The 27,795-nt window shown below is 36.5% G+C and overlaps 1 protein-coding gene across 4 annotated transcripts in view, besides 1 other annotated feature; it reads right to left on the bottom strand.

Moving 5' to 3' along the window:
- The window catches only part of UNC13C (unc-13 homolog C), a 795,839-nt gene that overhangs the window by 663,948 nt on the left and 104,096 nt on the right, over nt 1–27,795 (bottom strand). The gene's annotated exons all lie outside the window — the stretch shown is intronic.
- Nucleotides 20,102–21,301: an enhancer, noted in NCBI's record as "CDK7 strongly-dependent group 2 enhancer chr15:54240389-54241588 (GRCh37/hg19 assembly coordinates)". NCBI's record gives its function as "activates an origin of replication core promoter dependent on BRD2, BRD4, P300/CBP, MED14 and CDK7 cofactors, with strong dependence on CDK7, by STARR-seq in HCT116 cells {active_cell/tissue: HCT116}" and the evidence as "EXISTENCE:reporter gene assay evidence [ECO:0000049][PMID:35650434]".

Genomic DNA, 27,795 nt, shown 5'->3' with positions numbered 1-27,795 from the left:
CAGGCTGGCCTCAAACCCCTGCCCTTAAGAAATCCTCCTGCCTCAGCCTCCCAAAATGTATTATGTGTGTTTACAACAATTTTTAAATTGCTATCTGAAGGAGGCATCAGGCTATGTATTAACATTCAAAAATAATTTATCAAATTCCTGCTTGAGTTAGAGGATAGAATGCTGCAACTCTCTCCACCCTGAGCATCTTAGAGCATGACCAGGGCTGCCCTGTGGTGTTTCATCTTTCTCAAATACTCTCCCTCCCTACTCTTGTCTCTTTTAGACATATTTTCAATAGTCAGTTATCTTGCCCTGATTCTCTTCTTTATCAATGTGCAATCACTTTCCCCTGCTGTGCCTTCTACTATCTGTGGATAGATCTCTGAACTCCAGAGATTCTGGAATGAAAACTCAACCCAGGCATTTGGAATGTAATTATTCTCTTTATCCTATAAAACAGAGGTGCAAACACAAATACTTTAATAGTAAGGAAGGTTATGTCACTGGATTAAGTCAGTCGAGCGTGATAAAATTCAAAAAGATAGGGATTGTGGGGATTGTAGGAAACTGCAGAGTACCTGCCCTCTCTAGAACAACAGTTGCCTAATGAGAGGAGCACAAGACAATTAAATCTGCTGGTTTTCAAAATAGAGCAGAAATACAGAATGTTGTGTAAATCTTTGCAATGTTTAAAACAATCTGAATGAAAACAAAAACTGGACTCTTTCCAGTTTGCTGGCCATCAGCTTTTGATTCTTGCTATAAAGCTCAAAGAGATAAGAAATTTAGATCCTTTCTCAAACTCAAATTACAAACAAAAGGAAGGCTGACTCCTATTTTTTCATGGAGAGATCCAAACGCAGGACCTTGTGAGACCCTGGGATTTAGGATCTTTCCTCAGCTTCCTGGCTGAGGAAATACCAGAATACCTTTTCTGGGGCTTCTCTTTCTAAGCTCCTTCTATGGAATTTCAGTGAATATACTAAGAACCCCCTTTCCTTTGTCACCCAATATACTGGGTATATCTGCTTAACTCCACCATCTTCTCTGGGTTCTTCCTCATTGTAAGTGTTTGATACATTCTATATTTCTGTGGTTCTTAATAGTATCTTACTCTTGGATTGATAGAAGCCTTCCAATAGCCAGGTCCCCTGCCTAATTCACTAAGAACAACTGTGAACTGCATTTTAAAATTCATTTAAGAACTAGTTCACACAGGAGCAATCTGAACCCACGGGGGTTGCCTAGGGAAATGAGCTTCAGTAATACTGCATAATGCAGTCTCTTATCTCCTGTCTAAATTATGCTTTTGATAATCATTGAGTTGGATCACCTTTCCCTTCATCCTCAGGTACAAGGACAATTTTTCTCTTAGTATCCAGACTCCAGTCCTCAAGTCTGCAAAACCATGAGAACAATAACACTTTACCATCAGAACAATAACACTTCTTTACCATCAGAGACATTCTCCATTGTACACAGAGTACAGATCAATTCCAGGTATGTAATTGGTACTGAGTAGTTTCTACAAGCTAAAGATACAAAATATTTTGAGATCTACAGATAACTGAAAAAAAAATGAAGCCACCTATTTGAGAACAAAGACTACAGAATCTACAGATACATTTTTTAAAAACAAAGCATCACAGTTGGCACTGTTTCATATTTTACTATCTATATGAAACCACCAAACGAATTTCAACAAATTGGCTTGTGCCAACTCTAGTTATTTATCTCCATTTGGCAAATACTTCACTAAAGCAAAAGAGCTCAATGTAACTTACACTTCCCCTTCCCTTCTGCCACCACCTTAATCACATGGTGAGCTGTTCTTTAAGAATAGTTCAAGGAAACATCTCTTGAAACTAGAGAGAGTAACTAGGATAGCAAAGCAAAAATCCAGATAACAAATAAAAGTCCTTGAGAGGATATTCTTATGAACACAAAATATAAGCAAGTGGGGACAAACAAAGATATAAAATCCTTCTGGTGTCTGCTTTTGTATGAGAGGAAATAGAAGAAAGCAATAAGGAATGTAAAGGACTTGAGAACAGGTAAAGCCCCAAATAAACAAAGGTACTCACTTGAAAGCACAGTGGGTCACTTGAGAACAGCAGGTACATACTTCAACTCATGACGATTCGAAAAAAAACAAAACAAAACAAAACAACAAAAAAAAAATTGTGCTCTTAAAAACTCATTTTATAAAAAAGTAAGTAGCAAAAACACATTCAAAATCCATACAAAGTTGCTACAGGAAAAAAAATGAGTATATGAAGCATAATGATATCCCCTCAGAAAATGAAAACATGACATAAAGACAGGCTCACAAAACATAAACCGTAACCTAATAGTTCATAGTTCATATAAGTTCAAAATGTTTATTAAAATGATACAAGATAGGAAAAGGTAACAAATTCGTATTGGAAAAACTAGAGGTGAGGGTACACAGATCAGGAAAGAATTAGAAATAGAAGCAATATTATTTTAGAAGTGAAAGAATGCAGAGGATATAAACACAACTGGTATTACTACCTTGGGAAAATAAGTAAAATGAATTATGCTTTAAATAAAGGTATGTAAAAAGAATTCAAGATAAAATGACAACTATAGAAGCTAAGAAAAGAAAATCTAACATAGATATAATATGAACCCATGAACCCCTTCCCCAAAGAAGAAAATAAGATAGTAAAAACTTAAATTCAAAGGAAGCTTACTAAAATGTAAAACAAAAAAATTGAGATATGTTGTTTTGAGAGGGCATACCGCATGCCTGAGAAAAATCAATCTATAAAGAGCAATGCCAGGATATACTCTAGTAAATTATTTGGATATCCAGACAAAAAAAAAGATTAAGTCATTCATAAGGAAAAAATAAACTGTCTTCAGAATTTTGGCAAATTTTATGCCAACAGGCAATGAAGTTAAAAAAAATAAAGTAAGTAAAGAAAATATGAACCATAAATGTGATATTCAACACATTCATCCAACACAAACAAACTCACCTTCAAGGATAAAGAGTATAATCTGCTATAAACATTTAAAAACTCAAGGAATATTATTCTTGTGATATCTCCTTGAGGAATAGACTATAAAAAGGGCTTCAGGTAATCAAAACAAATGGAAAAATGTTGGCATAAAATAGTGCTAACACTCAGCATTGATAGTTGTTTACATCACAAAAAGAGAGACAGCTGGATATCAGGTGCCTTGTTATAGAAAAAGATACAACCATCAATAAAACAGTCTTGCCCAAGAAAACTGAACCTGAATTTAATCAAGCCAGTAGGTTCAACTACTGACTTATAGAAAATATAAATAGAAGAATATGTCAACTATGCCACATGAATATGATCAGCAAAATCTAGAATATGAGACTTTTATGAATGACCCACTTAATTTCTTTAACAAATACATTTCAGAAGAATAAAAAAAGGAGAATGAGAGACACGGGGAAACCTATAGATAAAAGTGCACTGAATCTGTGGCATTATTCACAATAGCAAAGACTTGGAACCAACCCAAATGTCCAACAATGATAGACTGGATTAAGAAAATGTGGCACATATACACCATGGAATACTATGCAGCCATAAAAAGTGATGAGTTCATGTCCTTTGTAGGGACATGGATGAAATTGGAAATCATCATTCTCAGTAAACTATCACAAGAACAGAAAACCAAACACCGCATATTCTCACTCATAGGTGGGAATTGAACAATGAGAACACATGGACACAGGAAGGAGAACATCACACTCTGGGGACTGTTGTGGGGTAGGGGGAGTGGGGAGGGATAGCATTGGGAGATATACCTAATGCTAGATGACGAGTTAGTGGGTGCAGCACACCAACATGGCACATGTATACATATGTAACTAACATGCACATTGTGCACATGTACCCTAAAACTTAAAGTATAATAATAATAATAAATAAATAAATAAATAAATAAATAAATAAGGGAAAAAAAAGAAAGTGCACTGAAAGGACATAAATAAATTCAACATTTAAATATTATTTGGATTCTGATTAAAAGGAGAGAGCTCTTTGTGAGATAATTGTAAATTTAAACATCCAAATTGATATTCAGTATTAGAGAATCATTGTGAATATATGAAGTAATTGTACTGAAGGCTGTGTTTAAAAAGAGTTCAAATGTTTAAGGGTAAAATGATATGATGTATGAGATTTGAAATTAATACGAGCTGAGGAGGGGAAGAGAGGGTTATAAATGATTGAAGGGTCATGGGTTGATAATCACTGAAACCAGTTGATAGGCACGTAAGTGTTCATTATAATAATTTGCCTACTTTTTACATTAAAAATTTTACATAATAAAACATAGTTCACATCGTCTTATGCCTAATACATTGTGAAGGAACCAGTTATTTTGTGCTGTGTTGCCTGTGTGAGTGTAATGCACCAAATGTTTCTAAACTATTATAAATAAAAACTTGTTTTGGACTTATTAGTATAATCAGAGAAGAAAACTTATAGAATCATTAACATTGTTTTTCTGAACAATTGTATTTTCTTACCTAAAAGATGTGTATCTTGGGGCAGGCTATGTCTTGTTAGTATACATGTAATGTACATGTATGACTGTGGCTAACGTGGCTTCGAGATGTGCTACCTCTTCCCTCCAGCGACACTAGCTGCTGTCAGATCCTCCAAAGTGCCAAAAGATTCTAAATTGTCTTGTGTGTTTTCAAATCTTCATCTGGCTTTAGATGACATGCTATTTTTAAAACATTACTTGGAGTGTTTTTTAAATGTGGCATTTCATATATCATCTTTAATAGTCTTTGTTTCATGGATAGATTTCTGGCTCGGGTAGGTACTAAGGCCTGTTTTATTTAGATGTGTATTTAAATACCACAGAAGAATACCTGAACATCTCTTTAGAATTTATTAGGTTGGTGCAAAAGTAATTGCAGTTTTTGCCATTACAACCTAATATTTCACCTTATAGAGGTATATTACATGTCCTTAGAGTATAGAAAAATATTGGCTACCCAGTAATTATTTGAAGAAAGACCATTTTATCTACTTTTGGTTGACACCCATAGGGATAGCTCTGTGCAAGTAGCTGTAAAAATATAGTGTTTGTACTAAGTGTAATTCTTAGATTTAAGAGCCTACTTCCATACAGTATTCAGGATTTAGGGAGACAGATCAATCATACCAACTCTTTTCAGCAAGTAGATGAACATCTCTGCAAAATTGTTAATTCTCTTTCAAACCCACTTAGTCAAGCTGTTTGATTTAGTAGCCCCTGCATACACCATTTAGAATGAAAAGGTAGATATAGTTCTTCCCATGAGATTTGTCAGTACTCCTACTCTGTAAAGATGTTGGTCCTTACTGATTTTATTTCCTAAAATTGTAACCCATTTTTGCTTCTAGAATCACATCTTTCATGTTTCAAGCTGGAAAAAAAAAATGGGTAAAGACCATTTCTTTCCAGACAGATGGGCCTGTTTGTGATTTGCCAAATTCCAAAATATGTGTTCTTCCCCAAATCCTGCCAGAAAGAACTTGGGTGCTAAAATAGATGTAGAAAATCCCTCTATCCTGACACAATTGCTTGACTAAATTATGTTTCTGGATATAAAACCATCCAGCCTGTTTTATTTCCATTTCCATGTGCAGCACTCAATTCCCCTGATAATTTCTTAGTCATTTTAAGTTTGTGAACCATGAATGTCAGCCATTGGTTCCTCACTCTTGTAGGTTTCACCTCTTCTTAATGAAATATGCATGTCTTCCTTGAGCATCTCATCCTTCAGTTCTGCAGACTCATCTTTAACAAGCCTTCCCAAATCCACTCTTAGCAGGGCTCCTCTTATACACATTATTATTATTTTTCAGTGTCTACTGTTTCCCAGGATTTGTACTGAGAATTAACGATAGATAATACTTATCAGAATTTCACCCTGTGGCTGATACTGAGCTAAATCCTTTACACGTGTATTGTCCCATATGGGTATCTCAACAACACAATGAGGCAGGTACCCTTTTCATCTCTATTTTACTAATGAGGAAACTGAAGCTCAGAGAAGTCAAGAAATTTGCTTCAGGTCACACAACTTCCAAGGGTTCAAACCCAGGCAGGCTTGATTTATTTCAAAGCTTAATGAATTTCATTGTGACAGTCTGTCTTCCCTAAACCTGAAAATGTTTTTATAACAAAAGTCTCAGTATAAGTTTGGTAGGCTGTGAAGACAGAAGTTGAGGGTCTTCATGTAACAGAAACCTTTTAAAATAAGGCCCCCAAAATAATTGTGTGAGTGTAAGTGGGGGAGAGTTTGCCTCTATAAACCATAATGTAAACCTCAGCCTTTCTTATGGCTAATGCTCGCCCTCTGCTGGCGTGTCTAATTTGTGCCCAGCTGAAGGGTCATTAAAACATACCCTACCTTCTGTAGTTTAAATTTAGGACAGCAGAATCAGCTTCCTGACCTCTGTAAGGTAATGTGAAAAAATCATGCAGTCGAGAAAGCTACATAAATATTCTCTATTATGATTTCTTTGCAGGTGGGCATAACTTGGCACCTTTGATTTCTAAGCAGTCTGAATTTTATCATGTACAAAGGATGACAGATGAACTCTTATTAGTTATTCCCTTCAGGTGGTTCTGATGAGGGCAGTGAAGGGAAGGCTCACAGTGTAACCAAGGAGAGAATTAATTAGAGCAGAGGCTTACCTCTGTGATTCTATTTATGTCTGAAGAAAAAGAAAGTCACTAAAAACCATGGCATTTGCTCCAGTCTATTCCTCTCTTCTCTTTAATAATGCAGTATTCATTTTTGCAGCCAGTTATCTGATGAGCATGGCAATGCTTAAATGGAACAGTCAGCATCTTATAAGTTTGTCTCTTTCTTGAGACAGGTGGACTGTCACTGTTTGGTACAGCATCTATTAGGGCTAAGGGAATCATATTTTTTCTATTGATATGATTATGCAATCAGCCATGTGTGCTGCAAGAACAGGGGTGGAACTGGAATATAATAAGTACACACACATACTCACACATGAAAATAAAATAATTTCAAATAATATACTTGAAAGAAATCATAACCGTATAATGAGAGTGAATATCAAAATATTTACTCAAATATCACCAGTATTTGAAAATAATAATATCTAAACATGGTTAGCAAATTAGTGTATTTAAGTCTGTGCTGACTCTTCTATTTCACATATAATGATTTATATATTTGTCTGATATTTTCATTAAAGTTATTAGCATGAAAAATGATATTCTGTAAGCCAGCAAAATGCTTAGCAGTGTCAGATATTAAATAGGCAGTAGAGTTTAAACAAAATACAAGCAGGAATCAGGAATCTGAGATTATATTATAGCTATCATCAATGTCATGGATTAAAAATAATGCAAACAATTTGATAGTACACAAGCCTCAAATTTCATGCTATTTGATGGAGATAGAGAGGAGCTATCTCTTAAAGAAAACATAACGCATTAACTCAGTAACTCCTAAAATTTGATAATAAAATCAGAAGTGAAGAAATGAAGAAAGACATTAAAGATAAGAAAGAAGAATAAGTGAAGAGTAGAGAAGGAGTTTGTAATTTCTCTGCCTTCTTTTTCCCCCAAATTTTTGACACTAAGAAGTAGGTTTGTAGATTTCTCATGCTGATGTGCCATTTACAATGCAGGTTATTCTGCTACTGTACATATTTGTATTTGGTGAATTATCTCATATGTGTGTGGTAAATAGGAAACCAGTTACAAGGCTTTTCAGGAATGTCTGTGTTGTTACAGCAGTAATATTATTCAATGGCTAAAAACTACTTTTTTCCTGGCATGGACATATATTAACCAATTTAACATGCTCTCAGCAACCTCATTTTTTCTGTTTTACTGTTAGGGAGATGAAGGCTTAGAGAGGTCACACAGTAAGAAAATCAAGATTCAAACAGTTTCTAAACTGTTAACCACTCTATGCTGCCCTTGCTGATTCTAGCCCGCTCTTAACCACTGTGCACCATGCATCCAAGGCCCCACTGACAAAAGAATCATAATGACAGTGTGTACATTCATCCCTCCTCATGAAGACAAATTAAGGGCAGTGTCTTTCAGACAAAAGATCTAGAACACCAGCTTCTGTAGCCCTCTTTGCAAACAAAGTAACTTCCTGAGAGGTGAAGCAATTCAGAGAGGAGGGCTGCCCCAGCAGAGTCCCCCAGCAAAGGAATAAGAGCACCAAGGCTCAGGGGCTTCATGGTCCGGTGCTGTGCCAGTGGGCAAGCCTTGGGAGAAACAGATATCCCCCTGCTGGGCCATGCTGTATTGGCTGGAGTGCCCCCAGAGAGCTCCGGAAATTGTTCACTGACTACTGGCTGCAGCAAAACCTCAGGGATGAAGGAAAGCATAAGGATGGAAAACCTAGGAACCATCAAAAAATAGGCAGTTGCTCAAAAGTTGAATTTTGCCCCTCTATCCATTTTAGGTGCAGGAATACACACATACACACAAACATATACAAACACACATACACAGAGCAAACAATTTTGAGACTTTTTAAAAAGAAGTTTATAACTCATCCATTACCTAAGAATAATTTATAATACTTCATTATATTTTGTGTCTGTGATATATAAAATCAGGAAAGCTATGTGGTGGGGGACAGTAACTTAATATGTGCATAGTTGGGATGAGGGTAACAAGTTGGCTGCAGAGAAGATGGGAGTATCTATCACATGTAACTTGATTAGATGCTAGGATTTATTGACATGGATATGAAAGGACTGACTATAAAAACTGATAAAACTGACCAAATGATGCTCCACCCTCCAAAAGCACTCTACTTTGGGATCTAGGTTGTCAGAGTGGTTAGTTACTATTTAATGAGTCCTCTGGGTCATTTCCAGATCACATTCTTACTTTGTGTTGTGTGTTCATAGAAATTCCAAATAATAAGTTTTATTTTTGTCATAATTCATATGTACATTCCAGACTATAGTCCTTGAACTTATTTCAAAAGCTTTTCATTAAATGATACACTAGTGGTCTGAAAAGGGTAATAAAACTTTGAACAAGACAAAGAATACAAAAGAGTCTCTCAAAGCATAGGGACATTCTGGTTCCTTTCTTACGATCCTATAAAACCCAAGCTACCATTTAGGAAAAAAAAAAAAAACATGATATAGATTATATACATAAGTCTTCAGACTTGGTTAGTCTGCTCTAGGGTCATACTCAGTCTCACAACTCCCTATGGTAGGCATTACCTCAACACACAGGTAAAGAAACTAAGACTTAGGTTACATATTGCCTGTGGTGACAATAGCAGAATGGGGATCCAAACCCAGATCTCATTCCAGTCAGATTCAAAAAACCTTTGTAATTGCATGAAATGGAGGAAAATAGACAACTACTTGGAGGTAGCATATCTCCTTAGTGTCTCAGAGAGGGTAAGAGAGAGGGTGATCTCACTGTTATTTTTAACTGTAAACTGTAAAAACTTTTAATGGGAAAAGTAATGCTTATCCCAGGAGTTCTAAATGCTGCCTTCTACCTAGTTCACCCCATTTATTAAAATACCACAATAATTCTTTTTCTAAAATGCGATTTGTAAAAATCTGCTTCTTCAATTTATTGCAGTGATACCCAGCTCAGATACTGTAATGAAGTCCATGAAGAAATATAAATAGAAATCCACTTTATGAAGAACTTGGCTGTAAGATTTATTCTGATTAACATGGATCATCTATATTATATTGAGTTTCCCACTTTAATATTGTAGCTTGGATCTGTTTTCTGTTGTGAGACTTAATATACAAAACATAGCCATGAAATCTCTATCAAGTAGAAGTGCAAGCAATAAATTACCAAACTGAGTTAGAGGTCTTTGAGCCCTGAAAACCAAAGGACACCCTGAGTCTTAAAAGAGTGGGTAAGCTACTAGGTATGGGTGAAAAATCAACAGAGTTAAACTAAGATGACCACCAACACGAGCATGAACAAGGATAAGAAATAAGACAGGCTAGTTAGAATGGCTATTATCAAAAAGAAACCATAAGAAATGCTGGTGAGGATATGGAGAAAGGAGAAGTCTTATACACTGTTAATGGGAATGTAAAGTAGTACAGCCATTGTGGAAAACAGTATGGAGGTTCCTCAAAATCTATAAATACAAATACCATATGAACCAGGAATCCCACTGCTGAGAATATATACAAGAGAAAAAAAAAACAGTATATCTAAGAGATATCTACATTCCCATGTTTATTGCAGCACTATTTACAATAGCCAAAATATGGAATCAACCTAAGTGCCCATCAAAGGATGAACAGATAAAAACAATGTGATATATACACAGTAAATTATTCAGCCATAAAAAAGAATGAAATCCTGTCATTTACAGCAACGTGGATGGAACTGGAGGTGATTATGTTAGTGGCACAAGTGAGACACAGAAAGACAAATATTTCACATTCTCGCCTATATGTGGGAGCTAAAAATGTTGCTCTCATGGAGGTAGAAGGAAGAATGGTGGTTACCAAAGGCTGTGAGGGCAAGCAGGGTGGAAGTAGGAAGAGAGGTTGCTTAATGGATACATAAATGCAGTTACGTGGAAGGAATAAGTTCTAGTATTCGACAGTACAGTAATTATAGTTAATAATAATCGATTGTATATTTGAAAAGAGCTACAAGAACTGTAATGCTCCCAACACAAAGAAAAGATAAATGTTTGAGATAATGGATATCCCAATTACCCTGATTAGAGCATTATACATAGCATAAGGGTATCAAACTATCATGTGGATCCCCAAAATACGTACGACTACTATATACCAATATAAAATACTTTTAAAAAACAAATAAGACAGGAAGCAGAGGCTATTGGAGTAGCCTGTGATGGGGATCAGACAGCCTGAGCCTTATCATCATAATTCCACTATCAAAAGATGGGATAATTTGGGCAAGTCAAGTCCTCCGTTTCCTCCTCAATAAGCTGAAGCATCTGTATTCAGCCCTTTCTAGTTTCTCTTGGAGCACAGACTGTTTCACTGAAAGTAAGGCAGCACAAAGTCTTCAAGACCAGGTAAAAAGGCAAAACAACAATAAGCCCAGGTGTTCATTTCACTTTGATTGTGGTAGTGGAGAAAACAAAGAGATAAAGAATGATCTAAATTAGGCAGTCATATGAAACCCTGAGGCTGAGTCCATTTGAAATTTGAGAATGGTTTTCGGGAGAAGGGATGTTGCAATTTGTCTCTAGAGCTGTCCAAATTTCGGTTTGTTCTGATTTTAGAAATTTGCCCTCATTTCTTTGAACATTGGTATAGGTAGGGAGAAAAAAGGGGATTGGGTGACAAACTTCGTCTAAAATTATCTGCAGCTCTCTTTAAGTAGTGGCTGTAGTATTTCTCATGCTCCTATTAATTTAGATGTGAAACAAGTTACTGTTTGATTACCTCTTTTAAAGTCCTCTAGAAATAAAGAACAAAATTATCTCAATCTCCACCTTCTCCTCTGACCAAAAAAACACAAAAAAACAAAAAACAAACAAAAAAATCTGAGCCCATGTTGAAATCATTAAATATATCTTTTGCTTATAAAAGATGTTTGCTGATGCCTCTGTTAACCTCTAGACTATGAGCTCCTGGGGACAGGGACTATTTGGTGTTTGTTGCTGATGCCCATGCAAGGCTGAGCACTATTCCTAGCATCTACTGAAAGTTCAATAAATGTGTGCTGACTTAAACTACGTTTAAAATAAGGCCAAACTCCTCTCTTTCCCGTACTTATTTAATATGCTGTAATTGAATATTGAACAAAAACAACAGAAATTGGTACTTATATCAATCTCCTCAGAATTTCTGGGCTATAAAACAAAATGATTTGCTTAGGGTAGATAAGGGAGGATTTTTTACTGTACTACTATATATATAGTGTAAACTTTACCATTAGCAACATTTAGTACATTCACGATGTTGTGAGATTTTTTAAAAATTATATTGAAAGTCTATGAAAATATTTACCAAAAGAAATGGAACCACTGCCTTTAAAAACACTTTTGAGAATGTTCCCATTTTTGGTAGGGCATGGTGGCTCACGCCTATAATCCCAGCACTTTGGGAAGCCAAGGTGGGCAGATCACTTGAGGCCAGGAGTTCGAGACCAACCTGGTGAAACGCAATCTCTACTAAAAATACAAAAATTAGCCAGGCGTAGTGGTGCACACCTGTAATCCTAGCTACTCAAGAGGCTGAGGCACAAGAATCACTTGAACCCAGGAGGTGGAGGTTGCAGTGAGCTAACATTGTGGCACTGCACTCCAGCCTCAGTGACAGAGTGAGACTCTGTCTCAAAAAAAACAAACAAACAAACAAAAAAGAACATTCCCATTTCTGAAAATTCTCACTTTGCATGTTATAATATCACAATATTGTCATAATGAACACATATGTAGTAATGATTATATTTGTTGGCATTTGTTTTAGTGAAAAATATTTCTATGAAGATAATATCAGTGTTTTGAACTTTATGATACATGCAGCTCCTATTTTATAAGCTTGGACATGCAGAGCTGCCATGTTTTACACACATGGATGTGTGCATGCACACACACACACACACACACACACACACACTTGAGCTTAACTTTACCAGTCCCGTGGACAACCCAGCCAACAATGCTCCCTGTCAGTTCCATGACATCCTCAACTCTGATAATCCTTCTCTCCGTTCTATTTCCACCATCCATTCCTGGACCACATCATGACATTGGCATTACTCAGAATTCCTTCAACTACACAATCATTCCCTGCTTAGAGTTTCCTTTGGTTTTCCCTGTTCAATTTCTCTGTGTCATCCATCCCTTCAAGCTCCTGACTTTATTCCAATCATCAAGCTTCTCCCTTTTTCACTTGCTAACTTATGAAGCTTCTGTTCTAAGTAACACTCTTGCTATACCCTAAACCTCTTTACCTCTCTGTTTTGTTTTATAGACAAACCCCATCTAAGACCTGATTACATAAAAGTTAAGAACAAGAGTTTGGGGCAAAATGGTGTACATCTGTTTTTGATCTCTGAGCCTTCTGAGCAGCTGGCACCGGTGGAGGCATTATAGGCAGCAAATACATATTTGCTATGTGAATTTCCCACCCCTAAATATTCTTTTGTCTTAAATTTCAACTTTTATTTTAGATTCAGGTGGTACACGTGTAGCTTTGTTACCTGAGTACATTGCGTGATGCTGAGGTTTGGGATGCGATTGATTCTATCACCAAAGAACTGACCATAGTACCCAATAGTTAATTTTTCAACCCTTGCCCCTCTCCTCCTCCCTTTTGGAATCCCCAGTTCTACTGTTGTCAGCTTTTGTTTGTCCATGAGTACCCATTGTTTAACTCCCACCTATAAGTGAGAACATGTGGTGTTTGTTTTTCTGTTTCTATATTAATTCAGTTAGGATAATGGCTTCCAGCTACATCCATATTCTGCAAAGGACATGATTTCATTATTTTTATGACTGTATGGTATTCCATTGTGTATATATACCACATTTTCTTCATCCACTCCACTACTGATGGGAACCTAGGTTGATTCCATGTCTTTGCTATTGAGAATTGTGCTGTGGTGAACATAGGAGTGCATGTGTCTTTATGGTAGAACAATTTATTTTCTTTCCTCAGTATTCTTAAATGGGTGAAATCGGATTAAAATGGCCAGCATGAAGAGGCATCAGAATGGGGAAGGTAAGTGGCTGTGCTATCACTAGACCAGCTGATGGAGCATGTTTAAAGCCTCCAGATTTTTAAAACCAATCCTCTTTCTGTACACTCTATTTTCCATGTTTTCTTGAGCTGCTGCCACTTCCCATTTATATCCCTACACATTATCACTGCCTCAAATTTCTGTAGAAAATACTCAAACTGTATTTAAAGGCTTTAGAGATGGAATTTCAACAGCCCTGTCACTTTCATTGTGTTTCAGCCAAGGGTAGATTGCTCTAATTACCTACATCTTTTTGGCTGGAGCAGTTTCAACTTTTCTCAATTCCTACTTATATCTTTCTAATGAAATAACAAGAATACAGCAGCTGAAAAATCATGTCTTTTAATAACCCCATCTCATAATTTTTTATTTCTTAATTCAGTATGTTTGGTATCAAAAACTATTTCTAAGTTGTTCTTTTCCCATTGTGATTTCTCTCCTAGTTTTATGTGTGTGTGTGTGTGTGTGTGTGTGTGTGTGTGTAAGAAAAAGTCATAGCTTTGATATCATAGTACAAAAGGAAGTGGAAATCTTCACAAAGCAATTCAGCATCTGTGGCTATGCAGGGGAAATACTATAGATAATTGAAGATATTATCTAGATAGCTTGCAATCAAAATGTATGTTCACCTGAAATTGCTTTGCACTTAATGGCACTATTCTGGCACTTATGCTACTGAACATCTATGTTCCAGTTCTCTTCTTATAGTCATGAAAATGTTATAAGTAGAGCCACAAGTTGAATTTCATACGTCCTAGCCAGCTCATTTCTTAGCATTATAGCTGGACTGTGAAAATATGCTGGTGCCTTGGTCATTTTGACTTCGTTATGAAAGCCTAATGGTACAACCTAATAGTACACTGATACTCTGTGTAAGGCTAGAAGCATATAGTCTATTTACTGTATTTTTTGAAGCACAAACTTAACCGTAGCATTTTGTAATTCATATAAAGCTTCTCCTTTAAGTTTGAGAGAATGAGAATGCCCTCTCTCTTAAACATGAACCAAAATATTAAGGGAAATCACTATTTCTTTATAAGCTTGCCCTGAGAACCATCTAAATTCCTAACTCTGTAACAGGCCAATCTAACTCATACCCCATTTGAAGCCTATAATTAGACGGCAAAACCTGGGCAGCTCACTCAATAGCAAGTTGTGAAAACATACGGTGACATCTAATGTTGGATTTCATCTTCATCAAAGGAGACTGCATAATAGCAGGATGATAGCTTTGGGGTTAGAATCAATTTATAACTATGTGTAACTTTGTGTAAAACACTTTTCCACTTCTTGGACTTTAGTTTTCTTTCTTCACTCAATATTTACTTCCTTGGCAAATACCAGGTACTAAATTTTTAAATATATTTATAATTATGCCCAGCATCTATCATCATATGAAACTGCTGTGCTTAACAGTAACAGTTCAGAAAGAAACATTGTCTCTTCTCTCAGGAAGCACACACTCTAGTGGGACAAATAGAGAAAACATTGTGTCACTATAGATATGCACATGGAACATGATGTAAGAATGCAGCAGGAAAACAATAAGCTGATGATAACCATTTCCAACAGATTGTGTTAAATGAGATTCTGTATGTAAAATTGGGCACCTAGTAGTTTTTCCATTTACAATCCATGAATACAAGAAATTCAGGCTCTTTAAAGGATGGATAGGAAATGATGAATGAGAAAGAAAGGAGACAAAGATAAAGGAGGATATGAAAAGCTGTGCTGCCTTGCTGCTCCTTCACTATGAAGCTCGGAGCCCTGCACCCCCAACCTGGCTGTACTCTGTCCCTTACAGTCACCATGGAAGTCTTGATGCCAACTGCACGTAGCATCTATCCACCAATTAACAAGCAGGTCTGGACTGTGCTCTGACACTGCTTCCAGCAGATGGAAGAGCAAGGAGAGTTTTGTGATGTGGAAACTTATAAATCCTAAATGTTAAATAGCTTAGAGGCAATTTAACAGGGAATCAGAAAGCCCTGTGATCTCTTCATATCATCCCTTCTGATTCTATGACCTCACAGGTTAAATTAATATCTAATGTGCTGGCATATGTAATAACAAAGGCTGTTGGACATGCAGGTTATATCTGAATATTCATTCTGCCTCTGAGCCATTGCCTCCAGTCTCTGCCACAAAGCAACTGCCCCCAATTTGTAATGCATTCATGTTTACAGCAAACTGGTTCAAGCTTTATTCAAGTCTGCAAAGGAGAATCTCTATTTTGCTCCTCTTGTAATACTCTTGGGTGATGCCTTAATATTACTGTTCCAGAAACACCCCTGGATCTAGAGAGTCCTTAGGGTTGAATTGGACAGAAGTTGGAGACTCATTGCTAATGTGCCTTGACTTCTGGGGCCCTCCTGAGGAGAAACACCTGGAGCACCACGAGGCAGATGCCCATGGGCACAGCCTAGCTGCCTGCTTAGCTGGCAAGCTCTTAAAAGGAAAGCCACTTCTCATTTCCCTCAGGATTCAAGAGTGCCTACTTTGCATCAGATTAATGGAGGTTTTTCCACACAGAAATAAAATGTGATCTCTGATCATTTAACCATGTGACTCTGAGGAAAAGAAGAATTCTGAAAGTACATTCCGAAATCCTTTCATCACATCAAAGTCTGAAGCATGATATAAAAAGAAGCCTAAATTACCCCCTGAAAGCAGCTGTTGTGAGGTGCTAATTCAATTACAACTTATTCATATCTATTTCACTTCAGGTTTCGAACATAGAAGTGGCATATATTTCACTCTGTACACTTCACATAAGTACAAGACACTGAAGAAATCTTATTTTGCTGTGTTCATCCCCAAACCGCTCAGGGGAAAAAAAAATTAGACACTCTAAGAGACTGCAACATTTAGAAACTTTTATTACGTATGCCCTGAATATTATGAACACCATAGGCCCCTATGCTTAAATGTTTTCTCTGTATACTTTAAGTAAGAAGGATGGACTTTGAATCCCCTATTTCCTTACAATTTTTAAGAGCATCAGTTTGCCTGGGTCATCTTATGCCTAGCTTCAATCAAGTGCCAGCACAGCGGATTCCTAATTTGGTTATACATTAAAATCATCTGGCGAGTTTTTATTAAAACAATTCTGATGCCCAGATCACAGCCCACGCAATTAAATTACGAAGTCCATGTTGGCAGCCAGAAAGAAGTCAGTATTTTTTAAAGGTCCCAAGGTGTTTCAAATAACCATCAAAATTTGAGAACTATTTGGGTACAAAAGTTGGTACTCAAATGTTTGATAACTAGTAACATAAATTAATTGATAGGTTAGAAGGTGAGTTGATGGGGGAAGAGAGAATGAACGGGAGAATTATTTAGTTAGAAACCCTGAATTCAAGATCTGGCCTTTTTATTTGTGTGTAACCTTGAGCAAGCAAGTCAAAAGCTGAATGAATCTATTTCCTTTTCTGTCCAATAGAGATGATATTGTCCTGCCAGGTAACTTTATAATTTTAGCCACTATTGCCACATTTACTTCCTAACCACCCCACTTTTCTCCAGATCAGCACACCTTTAGGGCAATGTATTCAACATCTTCAGAATCCCTACTCTTTAGAAATACTGCCCTCTTTTCTTCTCAGGACAACCAAGGAATGGTTTACTGTGTCCTTGGCCTTAAGAATATCACCTCAGCTCATGACTACATGCCTCAGCATTGCCCAAACCCTCACATCATCCTATTGCTGATACATAAACCAACGCAGTATAGGATGCTATGCAAAGCACTGCTAGGCTTTGTTCCTTGCAGTCAACGTTTTCCATTTACAGAGGCTTGAGGGATAAATACACTTGAAAAAAGTTAAAATCCTCATGACCAGCTGGTCTCCAGATCCACTGGGACAGAGCCCAAAGAATCACTTGAATTTTCAATAAGATGAATTTAAGTTTAACATAAAGATAAATGTCCTAGGAGGAAAGGTTACTTGCACTTTAAAAACAAATAAAGGATGTGATACCCATTTCAGCGCTGTATTATAAGTAATTTTTTCCTAGCATATGGAAGAAAAAGGATCCTTGAAGGGTAGTGGTTAAAAACATGGATTTGCGGGCCAAACAGAACTGAGTTTTTATCTTGGCTCCACCACTAGCTAGATTAAGCAAGTTGCTTAGCCTCTCAAAGCCAACTACCATTTCCTTATCTGTGGGATTAGGAGACCAATACCTATGTCACAAAGGCTGTGAAGAATAGGGTGGCCATGTGATTTACCGTTTACACCAGGACACTTTTGAGAGTGAAAGGGGTCACCACAATAATTAATAGGTTTTAATTAATCTGTAATGGAGTTAAACCCAATCTGTCCCTGGCAAACCTGGGTCAGCCCACATAGTGGGCAGCCCAAAAAATGGCTTGATTATTCACATTACTGTGTTGAATACCATAGGAAGCCTTTATACATTAGATAGATGTGAAATCAGGGTAAAATGTTGAAATGAGTCAAGTTGGAATTCAATATACCCAATTCAGCTTGTATGCTGACTCCCTGTCAGGGCATTTCTGATGCCAAGTCACCCAGCCATGTAGGTTTATTGAGTTAAATCAGAATTAAGAGAAATGTTAGATATTTTCACACTTGTTGCAGACATATATAAATCATCATTTTTAAAAGTTTGGCAAAAGGACCTTAGAAATGAGGTCCTAAAAATATGAATTTACTGCTCATATTTTACAGTTTAAGAAATATCTTCAGAGAAAAGGCTTCATCTCCCCATATTCTTCTCACCGTGAGAATCACAGAGCAGAGTATAACTATAGGGCTGTTTTCACTAGATTGCTATATTACATTTCGCTTTGTAATATATAATAACTGTTGTTACAAAAAGACCTGAAACTTTTAGGATTACGTTGATGAAGACATGGACTTGTCTTAGTTGGCTTCCTGAAACCCTCTTTGAACACAGATGTGTCTTCTCTAAGCAATGCAAAATGTGGTAACCTAATGCCAACCCTGAGCTTGCTCTCTCAGCTGAGAAAAATGCATAACCCCTGGCTATTTCTGTGTCTTCAGCCCTGAATCCAGAATCAAATGTGATTTTCTCCAGTTGGTTTACTGTCTTACAGAAGCATTCCATGTCTTACAGTGTGGTTGGATGCTAGAGACCGATCTACTGCATGTAATCTAAAATTAAATATAAAACACTTGGAGTATCAGTTGACACCTTTGATTTCCCAGCTATTGTATTCTGTTGTTAGAGATGAGAAATTATTATAAAATTAGAGTACTGAAGAATTATACTGGAAAAAGCTACCATCACATTAGCTACTAAATATCCAATCCTACAGAGGCAAAAAAAAAAAAATCTTTATTTTAGTCTTTGCTGATACTTTTCTAAGCAAAGAGAAAAAGGAAAAGGGGAAAAAACTTATTTAAGAAAAAATAAAAATGAAGATCTTCTCTGGGCAAATTGCTTAGCCTCTTCAAGTTTCAATTTCCTGTCTATAAGATGGGACTATTATTGTCTACATCACATGGCTACTGTGAAAATTAAACAAATTAATATAAGGTTTGTTCCACGTGATGGGCTTTCAATACCTGATCATCTTTACCAAGCCCCCTCTTTGCATTTTAAGTTTTAGAAGTTGCAGTAGAGATGCCTCTTTCAGTTGCCTGCCTGACTGGGGTTAATGTGGATTTTTCCCCCAACATGTACTTTTATAAGGTACTGAGGTAAGAGTGTCACAGATGTTTGTCTAGATATATTTCTGTGTATTGACATTTTTATCTTCTTCCTGTGTTTCTGACATTGAGAATAGTGGTTCCAAAAATATGAAAAAACAAATAGCAGAGCTTAAGGTCAAATTTAATGTTAGTTAAACCTGAATTTATTATAAGACACCTTCTCTACTCAAAAAGAGTAAGTTCTTGAGTTTCAGTTCAACAGCAAACATTATATTCAGACTTTAGTATACATAAGAATCTTGAGGACTATAAAGTGCAAATTCCCAACCTTCCTAATAAAATCTGATTAATTCTGTCTGGAGCAGAGTTCCAGGAATCTGCATTTTTGCAAGCCCATCAGGTAGTCCTGGGATGATACTTTGAGAAAAATCTCTCTTTGATGTGCCAGGTCCTCTGTTTGGGATTCATCTCAGAGTCCTGGTGTGCTCATAGTTCTCCAAACCTGGGATATATAATCAGATGATTAACACACTGCAATTAACACTAATGGAGTTGTATACTGAGTGCTATAGAGAAATAGAAGCAAAAATGACTAAGTGCTCAAGATCATAGTCAAATCTTTGAGAAATTATTCTACAAAAATTATTTTAGATAACTTGTAGTTTTCTTATTTCTCTCTCAAAATAACAGACATCATAGAACCAAAATAAATGTCTATGGATTTCCTGGGTTATATCAATAAATCATTCCCAGCCAGGTGCTAAATTTTTTTAAACAGCTGCAAGTCTCCCACCCAACAAGTAGAAAGCAGTCCGGGATTTAGCACACTGGCTGAATATCTACTACGTAGCAGGCACTTTATCTAAATAAGGTCAGTGTCTCACATTCTGTCAACCTGTAGCCATACTCCAAACTGCACGAAGAGTGAACAACCTAAAATATTGGTAAGTTCTTAATAAGGTGCCAAGATTCTTCACTGCAAAGGTAAAGCATGTATTATATTATAATTGCTTATCTATTTTCTGTACTCCTCTGTAGATTATAAGTCCCTTGAGGGAAGACATTATGTCTTGCCCACTGCTGTATCTTCAATCCCTAGAACAGGGCCTAGCACAATAAATAGTTATAACAGATTAATGGAAAATACCTTTAATGGTTTATCCTGTGTAAAGAATAAATTCCAAGCTCTTTAAGTACAATAAATGCAAGGCTCTGGATTCCCCTCTCTAGCTTCATTTCTCATTCTTCTGCCTTTTGATTCAGTCTCAGGTCTCTCCATACTTCCTACTCTGTGTCAGCTGTGTGCCTTCACCGTCCCCTTTTCCTCTGCTTGAAAGGTCATTTCCTCACCTGGCTAATTCCTACACATCTTTCTCACATCATTTCTGCCCTCTCCAACCTTTTTGTAATTTAAGAGTTCAGAAAATAAAAGGCCCTAGCCCTATGTTGAAAGAGTATAATAAATTTCTGTTGATAACTCTTTTTTTTTTTTTTTTAAGATGCAGTCTTGCTGTCACCCAGGCTGGAGTGCAGCGGCACAATCTCCAGTCACTACAACTTCCGCCTCCCGGGTTCAAGCGATTCTCCTGCCTCAGCTTCCTGAATAGTTGGGATTACAGGTGCCTGTGACCACACCCAGCTAATTTTGTATTTTGAGTAGAGACGGGATTTCACCATGTTGGTCAAGCTGGTCTCAATCTCCTGGCCTCATGATCCGCCCCCCTCGGCCTACCAAAGTGCTGGGATTATAGGCATGAGCCTCTGCACCGGTAGCTCTTTCTTATGACAGAAGTTTCTCAACAGAGTACTTTCTTCTGAAAGCAGTATCATTTTTCCATATTTAATCTCCACAAGAACCACTTTCAAAAAATAACAGTAACCTGGCACTTTAAAGAACTAAAAATAAAAAGAGTAAACAAACAAGATTTATTATTTTAGAAAATCTAGCTAGTTCTTACATGAGTAGCTTTTGAGATGGAAAATACCTTTAAATCAAGATTTTGGTTTTGGCTTACACTCCCAGCCTACTCTTTTGGTTATTTTCAGTTCTTGTTCATTTACCTTAAGAATATGTTCACCTAATTGCGCTACTGAATCAGATAGCAAATCAATCCTTCTGATAAAGTTAAAACAATTAAATTTTAATTCAGAAGGTATTGGCTGCCAGTTTCAACAATGTGTATCATGATATGTTTCTGAAGACAAAGTCATTGTGATACCACATATAAGTTTTGATTCTAGATATTTTTCTGCCCATGTGTTCCTCTACAGTGAAGCCTAAAGAGTCATCCTCCAACCTTGACAACCCTTCACCATTATAATGGAACAAGTCCCAGATGAGAACAACAGCCATCTCAGGCAGTCACAACTTTCTGCAGTAGAAATTCAATGAGAGCCTCTGATGGATACAAAACACTGTGTTGGGAGCTGCGGTGACAAGATCGAACGGACACAGATGACCCTTTCAAAAAATAAAAAGAGCTCAAGAGTCATAACAAAAGATGTGAACAAACATCACCAATGAGAGGTACAAGGTGATCAGAGGCATGATGGTCTAAGTTTTCAGGAAAAGGAGCAGCTACTTCCAGTTGGTAGAGCATTAAGGAAATGCTGCAAAAGGAATTGAACTTCAAATTGTACCTTGGAGATGGGGATTGAGTATGGACAGAAGAAGATGAAATGAGGACTGTTGTTGAGCTGAGAGCTAATAAATCAGCTTTCTATTTCATTTGTTCATTCATCCATTTTACAAATATTAATCAAAATCTTCTATGTGCCACATTATACTATGCTCTAAATATGATGTTGTGAAAAAAAGACACAGCCTGTAACTTAATGGTGCTTAAAAGTCTAATATCATCTATCCACCTGCTTTTTCTTAGGCCTTATTGGAAAATTCAGGAAATATACAATTTTGGAACTCATCAGAACATAGACTGAATAGTCCAGGACAGACCATATGGCTTGCTAATTGGTTACATATAAGTCATCACCATAGGTTTGAGATCAAGTTTTATACTTATATTTGGAAATATTGGGAACAAAAGATAAAAAATTGAAAGTTTCATTTGTTTGCTTACATTCCAAGCATAACAAGCTATTAATAGAACTTTTATTAGAACCCGCTAGACTCTGTGTTAATGACTTTTTAAAAAGTGAGCCAACAATATCCTTGATGAACATTAATGCAAAAATCCTCAACAAAATACTTGCAAACCAAATCCAGCAGGATATCAAAAAGTGAATCCACCATGATCAAGTAGGCTTTATCCTTGGAATACAAGGTTGGTTCAACATCTGCAAATCAGTTAATATGATTCATTACATAAGCAGAACTAAAATGAAAACCACATGATTATCTCAATAGACACAGATAGACCTTTTGATAAAATTCAATAACCTGTCATGTTAAAAAAAAAAAAAAAAAAAAAAAACCTCAGCTCACTGCAACCTCCCCCTCCCAGGTTCAAGTGATTCTTCAGCCTCAGCCTCCTGAGTAGCTGGGACTACAGGCGTGTGCCACTGTGTCCAGCTAATTTTTGTATTTTTAGTAGAGACAGGGTTTCACCATATTGGCCAGGCTAGTCTTGAACTCCTGACCTCAGGTGATCCAGCATGGGTGACACAGCAAGACTCCGTTTAAAAAAAAAAAAAAACAAAAAAAAGAACACCTCAGTAAACTAGGTATTGGAGGAATATGCCTCAAAATCATAAGAGCCATCTAGGATGAACCCTCAGCCAACATCATACTGACATACAGAATAGGCAAAAGCTGGAAGCATTCCCCTTGAAAACCAGCACAAGACAAGGATGTCCTCACTCACCACTCCTATTCAACATTGTACTAGAAGTCCTGGCCAAAGCAATCAGTCAAGATAAAGAAATAAAGGGCATCCAAATATGAATATAGGAAGTCAAATGATCTGTGTTTGTAGACGTGATTCTATAACTAGAAAACCCCATAGCCTTGGCCCAAAAGCTCCCTCAGCAGATAAACAATGTTAGCAAAGTATCAGGATAAAAAAATCAATGGACAAAACTCACTAGCATTCCAATACACCACCAACAGCCAAATCAGAAAATCAATCCCATTCACAATTGCTACAAAAAGAATAAAAAACATAGGAACATAGCTAACCAGGGAGGTGAAAGATCTCTACAATGAGAGATACAAAACGCTGCTCAAATAAATCAGGGATGACACAAACAAATGGAAAAACATTCCATACTCATGGATAGGAAGAATCATTATCATTAAAATGACCATACTGCCCAAAGCAGTATTATAGATTCAATGCTATTCCTATTAAACTACCAATAATATTATTCACATAACTAGGAAAAAAGTATTTTAAAATTCATATGGAACCAAAAAAAAAGCTCAAATAACAAAGGCAATTCTAAGCAAAAAGACCAAAGCTGGTGGCATCACGCTACCTGACTTCAACCTATTCTACAGGGCTATGGTAACAAAAACAGCATGGTATTGGTACAAAAACAGACACAAAGACCAACTGAACAGAAGAGATAGTCCAGAAATAAGGCTGCACACCTACAACAATCTGATTTTTTACAAAGCTGACAAAAATGAGCAATGGGGAAAGGACCCCCCACTTAATAAATAGAGCTGAGATAACTGGCTAGCCATATGCAGAAGACTGAAACTGGACCCCCTTCTTTATATTATATATAAAAATCAACTCAAAATAAATTAAAGACTTAAATATAAAATCCAAACTATAAAAACTCTAGAAGATAACCTAGGCAATACCATTCTGAACATAGGAACTGGCAAAGATTCCATGATGAAGCTGCTAAATGCAATTGCAACAAAAGCAAAAGTTGACAAATGGGATCTAATTGAACTAAAGAGCTTCTGCATAGCAAAAGAAAATATCAACAGAGTAAACACAACCTACAGGAGAAAATATTTGCAAACTATGCATCTGACAAAGGACTAATATCCAGCATCTATAAATAAATGTACAAGAAAAATAATAACCCCATTAACACATGGGCAAAGGACATGAACAGGCACTTTTCAAAAGAAGACATACATGCAGCCAACAAGCATATAAAAAAATCCAATATCACCAATCATTACAGAAATGCAAATTAAAACCACAGTGAGGTACAACCTCTCACCAATCAGAATGGCTATTATTAAAAAGTAAAAAATAACAGATGCTGGTAAAGTTGCAGAGAAAGGAGATGCTTATACCCTGTTGGTGGGAGAGTAACTTAATTCAACCATCAAAAGCAGTGTAGCAATTCCTCAGAGAGCTATAAACAGAACTCTCATTTGACCCAGCCATCCTATTACTGGGTATATACCCAAAGAAATACAAATCATTCTACCATAAGGACACACGGATGCATAGATTCATTGCAGCACTATTCACGATAGCAAATACATGGAATAAACCAAAATGCCCATCAATGGCAGACTGGGTAAAGAAAATGTGGTACGTATATACCATGTGGTACATATATACTATACAGCAACAAAAAAGAATGATATCATGTCCTTTGCAAGAACATGGTTGCAGGTGGAGGCCATTATCCTTAGCAAATAAATGCAGACACAGAAAACCAAATGCCACATGTTCTCACTTGTAAGTGGGAGCTAAATGATGAGAACACAGGGACCCTGTGAGGGGAACAACAGAACGACAAGGGCCTCCTTGAGGATGGAAGGCAGGAGGAGGGAAAGGATCAGAAAAAATAACCATTGGGTACTAGGCCTAGTACCTGGGTGATAAAATAATCTGTACAACAAACTCCCGTGAAATGATTTTAATTATATAACAAAACTTGCACATGTACCCCTGAACCTAAAATAAAAGTTTAAAATAAAAAAAGAGCCAAATTAAATTATTAAAATAATAAAATAATTTCTTTTCTTTTTGAAGTTTTAAGACACATCAATTAGGAAGCCTGGAGGCATCTTAGATGGCAGACATAAGCCTTTTATGTTCAATGTAAATAATTATATTAAGTGTTAATTACCCAAATAAACTAACTAAAAGACAGATATTAACAGAGTAGATTTAAAAACATGACACAATTATATGCTGTCTACCAGAAACTTCAAATATAACAATATATGCACACTAAAAGTAAAAGGAGGGGAAGAGATATATCATGTAAACATTAATCAAAAGAAAGCAGGAGTGACTATGCTACTATCAGATAAAAACACAGACTTCAGAGAAAAAAAAATTACCAGATACTTAGACATTCCAGAGTCAAAATGTCATAAAAGGGCCAATTTACCAAGAAAATATAGCAATCCTACACGTACATGTACCAAATACAGATCCTCAAAATATGTCAGAGACTGATAGAACTGAAAGGAGAAATAGACAAATCATAAATCCATGCTTTATACAAAAATTTACTCAAACAGATCATGGACTTAAGTGTGAAGTACAATACTATAATTTTTTTAGGGAAAAAAACCCTGGAAGTTTAACTTTTAAATCATGCATAAGCCCTTTATGGATAAAATTATAAATATTTTAAAACAGTTAAAAATAGAGACATCTGCTTATCACAGACAACAAAATATCAGTTCTTCCAAAATTTCTATATGGCTTCAAATCAATCCCTCTCAAAATAAAAGAGAAATTATTATTTTTGTTCTTGTTTTTATTGTGTTGCTGTTTAGAAACTAGAGGAGATAATTCTTGTTATTTGAGAATTACAAAGAACCAAGAATAATGAAGATACTTAAAAGGAGAAAAAGTAAGTGGTCAATTTGTCCTATCAGATTGAAAAATGTATTATGTGATTGTGACAAGAGAATGTGATTTTGTCTTAAGTATGGATAAATTAGCAAATAAAATAGAATTGCATGTTCAGAAACAGAGCCACTTAAACTTGATACATGAAGAAGCAGCACTGCCAATCAGTGAGGAAAGGTAAAACAGTTCATTAAATTTTTTGACCATTGGCTATTAAAATGGAGGTTGGAATGGAGAATGGAGTTAGATCTCTAATATCTATATCAAATCAATTCCAGTGATTAAAGATTTGTCAATGACAAACTTTAAATTTTAGAATAAAATATAAACTAACATGTTTCTGTTCTTAGTGAAAAGAAAGATTTCATAAATAAGATATCAAGCAAAAACTACAGGATAGGCTGGGCACAATGGCTCACGCCTGCAATCCCAGCACTTTGGGAGACCAAGGCAGGTGGATCACTTGAGGCCAGGAGCTTGAGGCCAGCCTGGGCAACATGGCGAAACCCCGTGTCTACTAAAAATACAAAAATTAGCCAGGCATGGTGGCACATTCCTGTAATCTCAGCTATTTGGAAGACTGAGGCACGAGAGTTGCTTGAACCAGGAGTTGGAAGTTGCACTGAGCCAAGATCTCGCCACTGCACTCCAGCCTGGGTGACAGAGTGAGACTCTGTCTCAAAAACAGAAACAGAGAAAAATATTTCAGGAAAATCGTTACCTGGAAAACAGGCATAATAATGAGTCACACAGATTCAAATGCCTTGGTAATGAACTAATTCTTTTTTTTTTTTTCAATTTTTATTTGAAATTCCAGGGTACATGTATAGGATGTGCAGGTTTTTTACATAGGTAAACAAGTGCCATGGTGGTTTGCTGCAAAGATCATCCTATCACATAGGTATTAAGCCCAGCATCCATTAGCTGTTCTTCCTGATGCTCTCTCTCCCCTCATCCCCACCAACAGGCCCAGTGTATGTGGTTTCCCCACATGTGTCCATATGTTCTCATCATTTAACTCCTACTTATAAATGAGAACATGCGGTGTTTGGTTTTCTATTCCTGCATTAGCTTGCTGAGGATAACAGCTTCTAGCTCCTTCCATATCCCTGCAAAGGACATGATCTCACTCCTTTTTATGGGTGCATAGTATTCCATGTTATATGTACCACATTTTCTTTATTCAGTCTACCATTGAAGGGCATTTGGATTGATTCCATGTCTTTGCTATTGTGAATAGTGCTGTCATGAACATACATGTGCATGTATCTTTATAATAGAATAATTTATGTTCCTTTGGGTATATATCCAGTAACGGGATTGCTGGGTCAAGCAGCATTTCTTGTTCTAGGTCTTTAAGGTATTGCCACACTGTCTTCCACAATGTTGAACTAATTTACACTCCCACCAACAATGTAAAAGTGTCCTTTTTCTCGGCAACCTCATCAGCATCTGTTGTTTCTTGACTTTTTAATAACCACCATTCTGTATGGCATGAGATGGCATCTTATTTTGGTTTTGATTTGCATTTCTTTAATGATCAGAGATGTTGAGCTTTTTTTCATATATTTGGCCCCATGAATGTCCTCTTTTGGGAGATGTCTGTTCATATCCTTTGCCTACTTTTTAATGGGGTTGTTTTTTTCTTGTAATTTTGTGTAAGT

The sequence above is a fragment of the Homo sapiens genome, chromosome 15 (assembly GCF_000001405.40).
Source record: "Homo sapiens chromosome 15, GRCh38.p14 Primary Assembly".
NCBI classification, from domain to species: Eukaryota; Metazoa; Chordata; class Mammalia; order Primates; family Hominidae; genus Homo; species Homo sapiens.
Note: the sequence above shows the minus strand (reverse complement) of the source record. Positions and strands in the feature narration are given on the sequence as shown.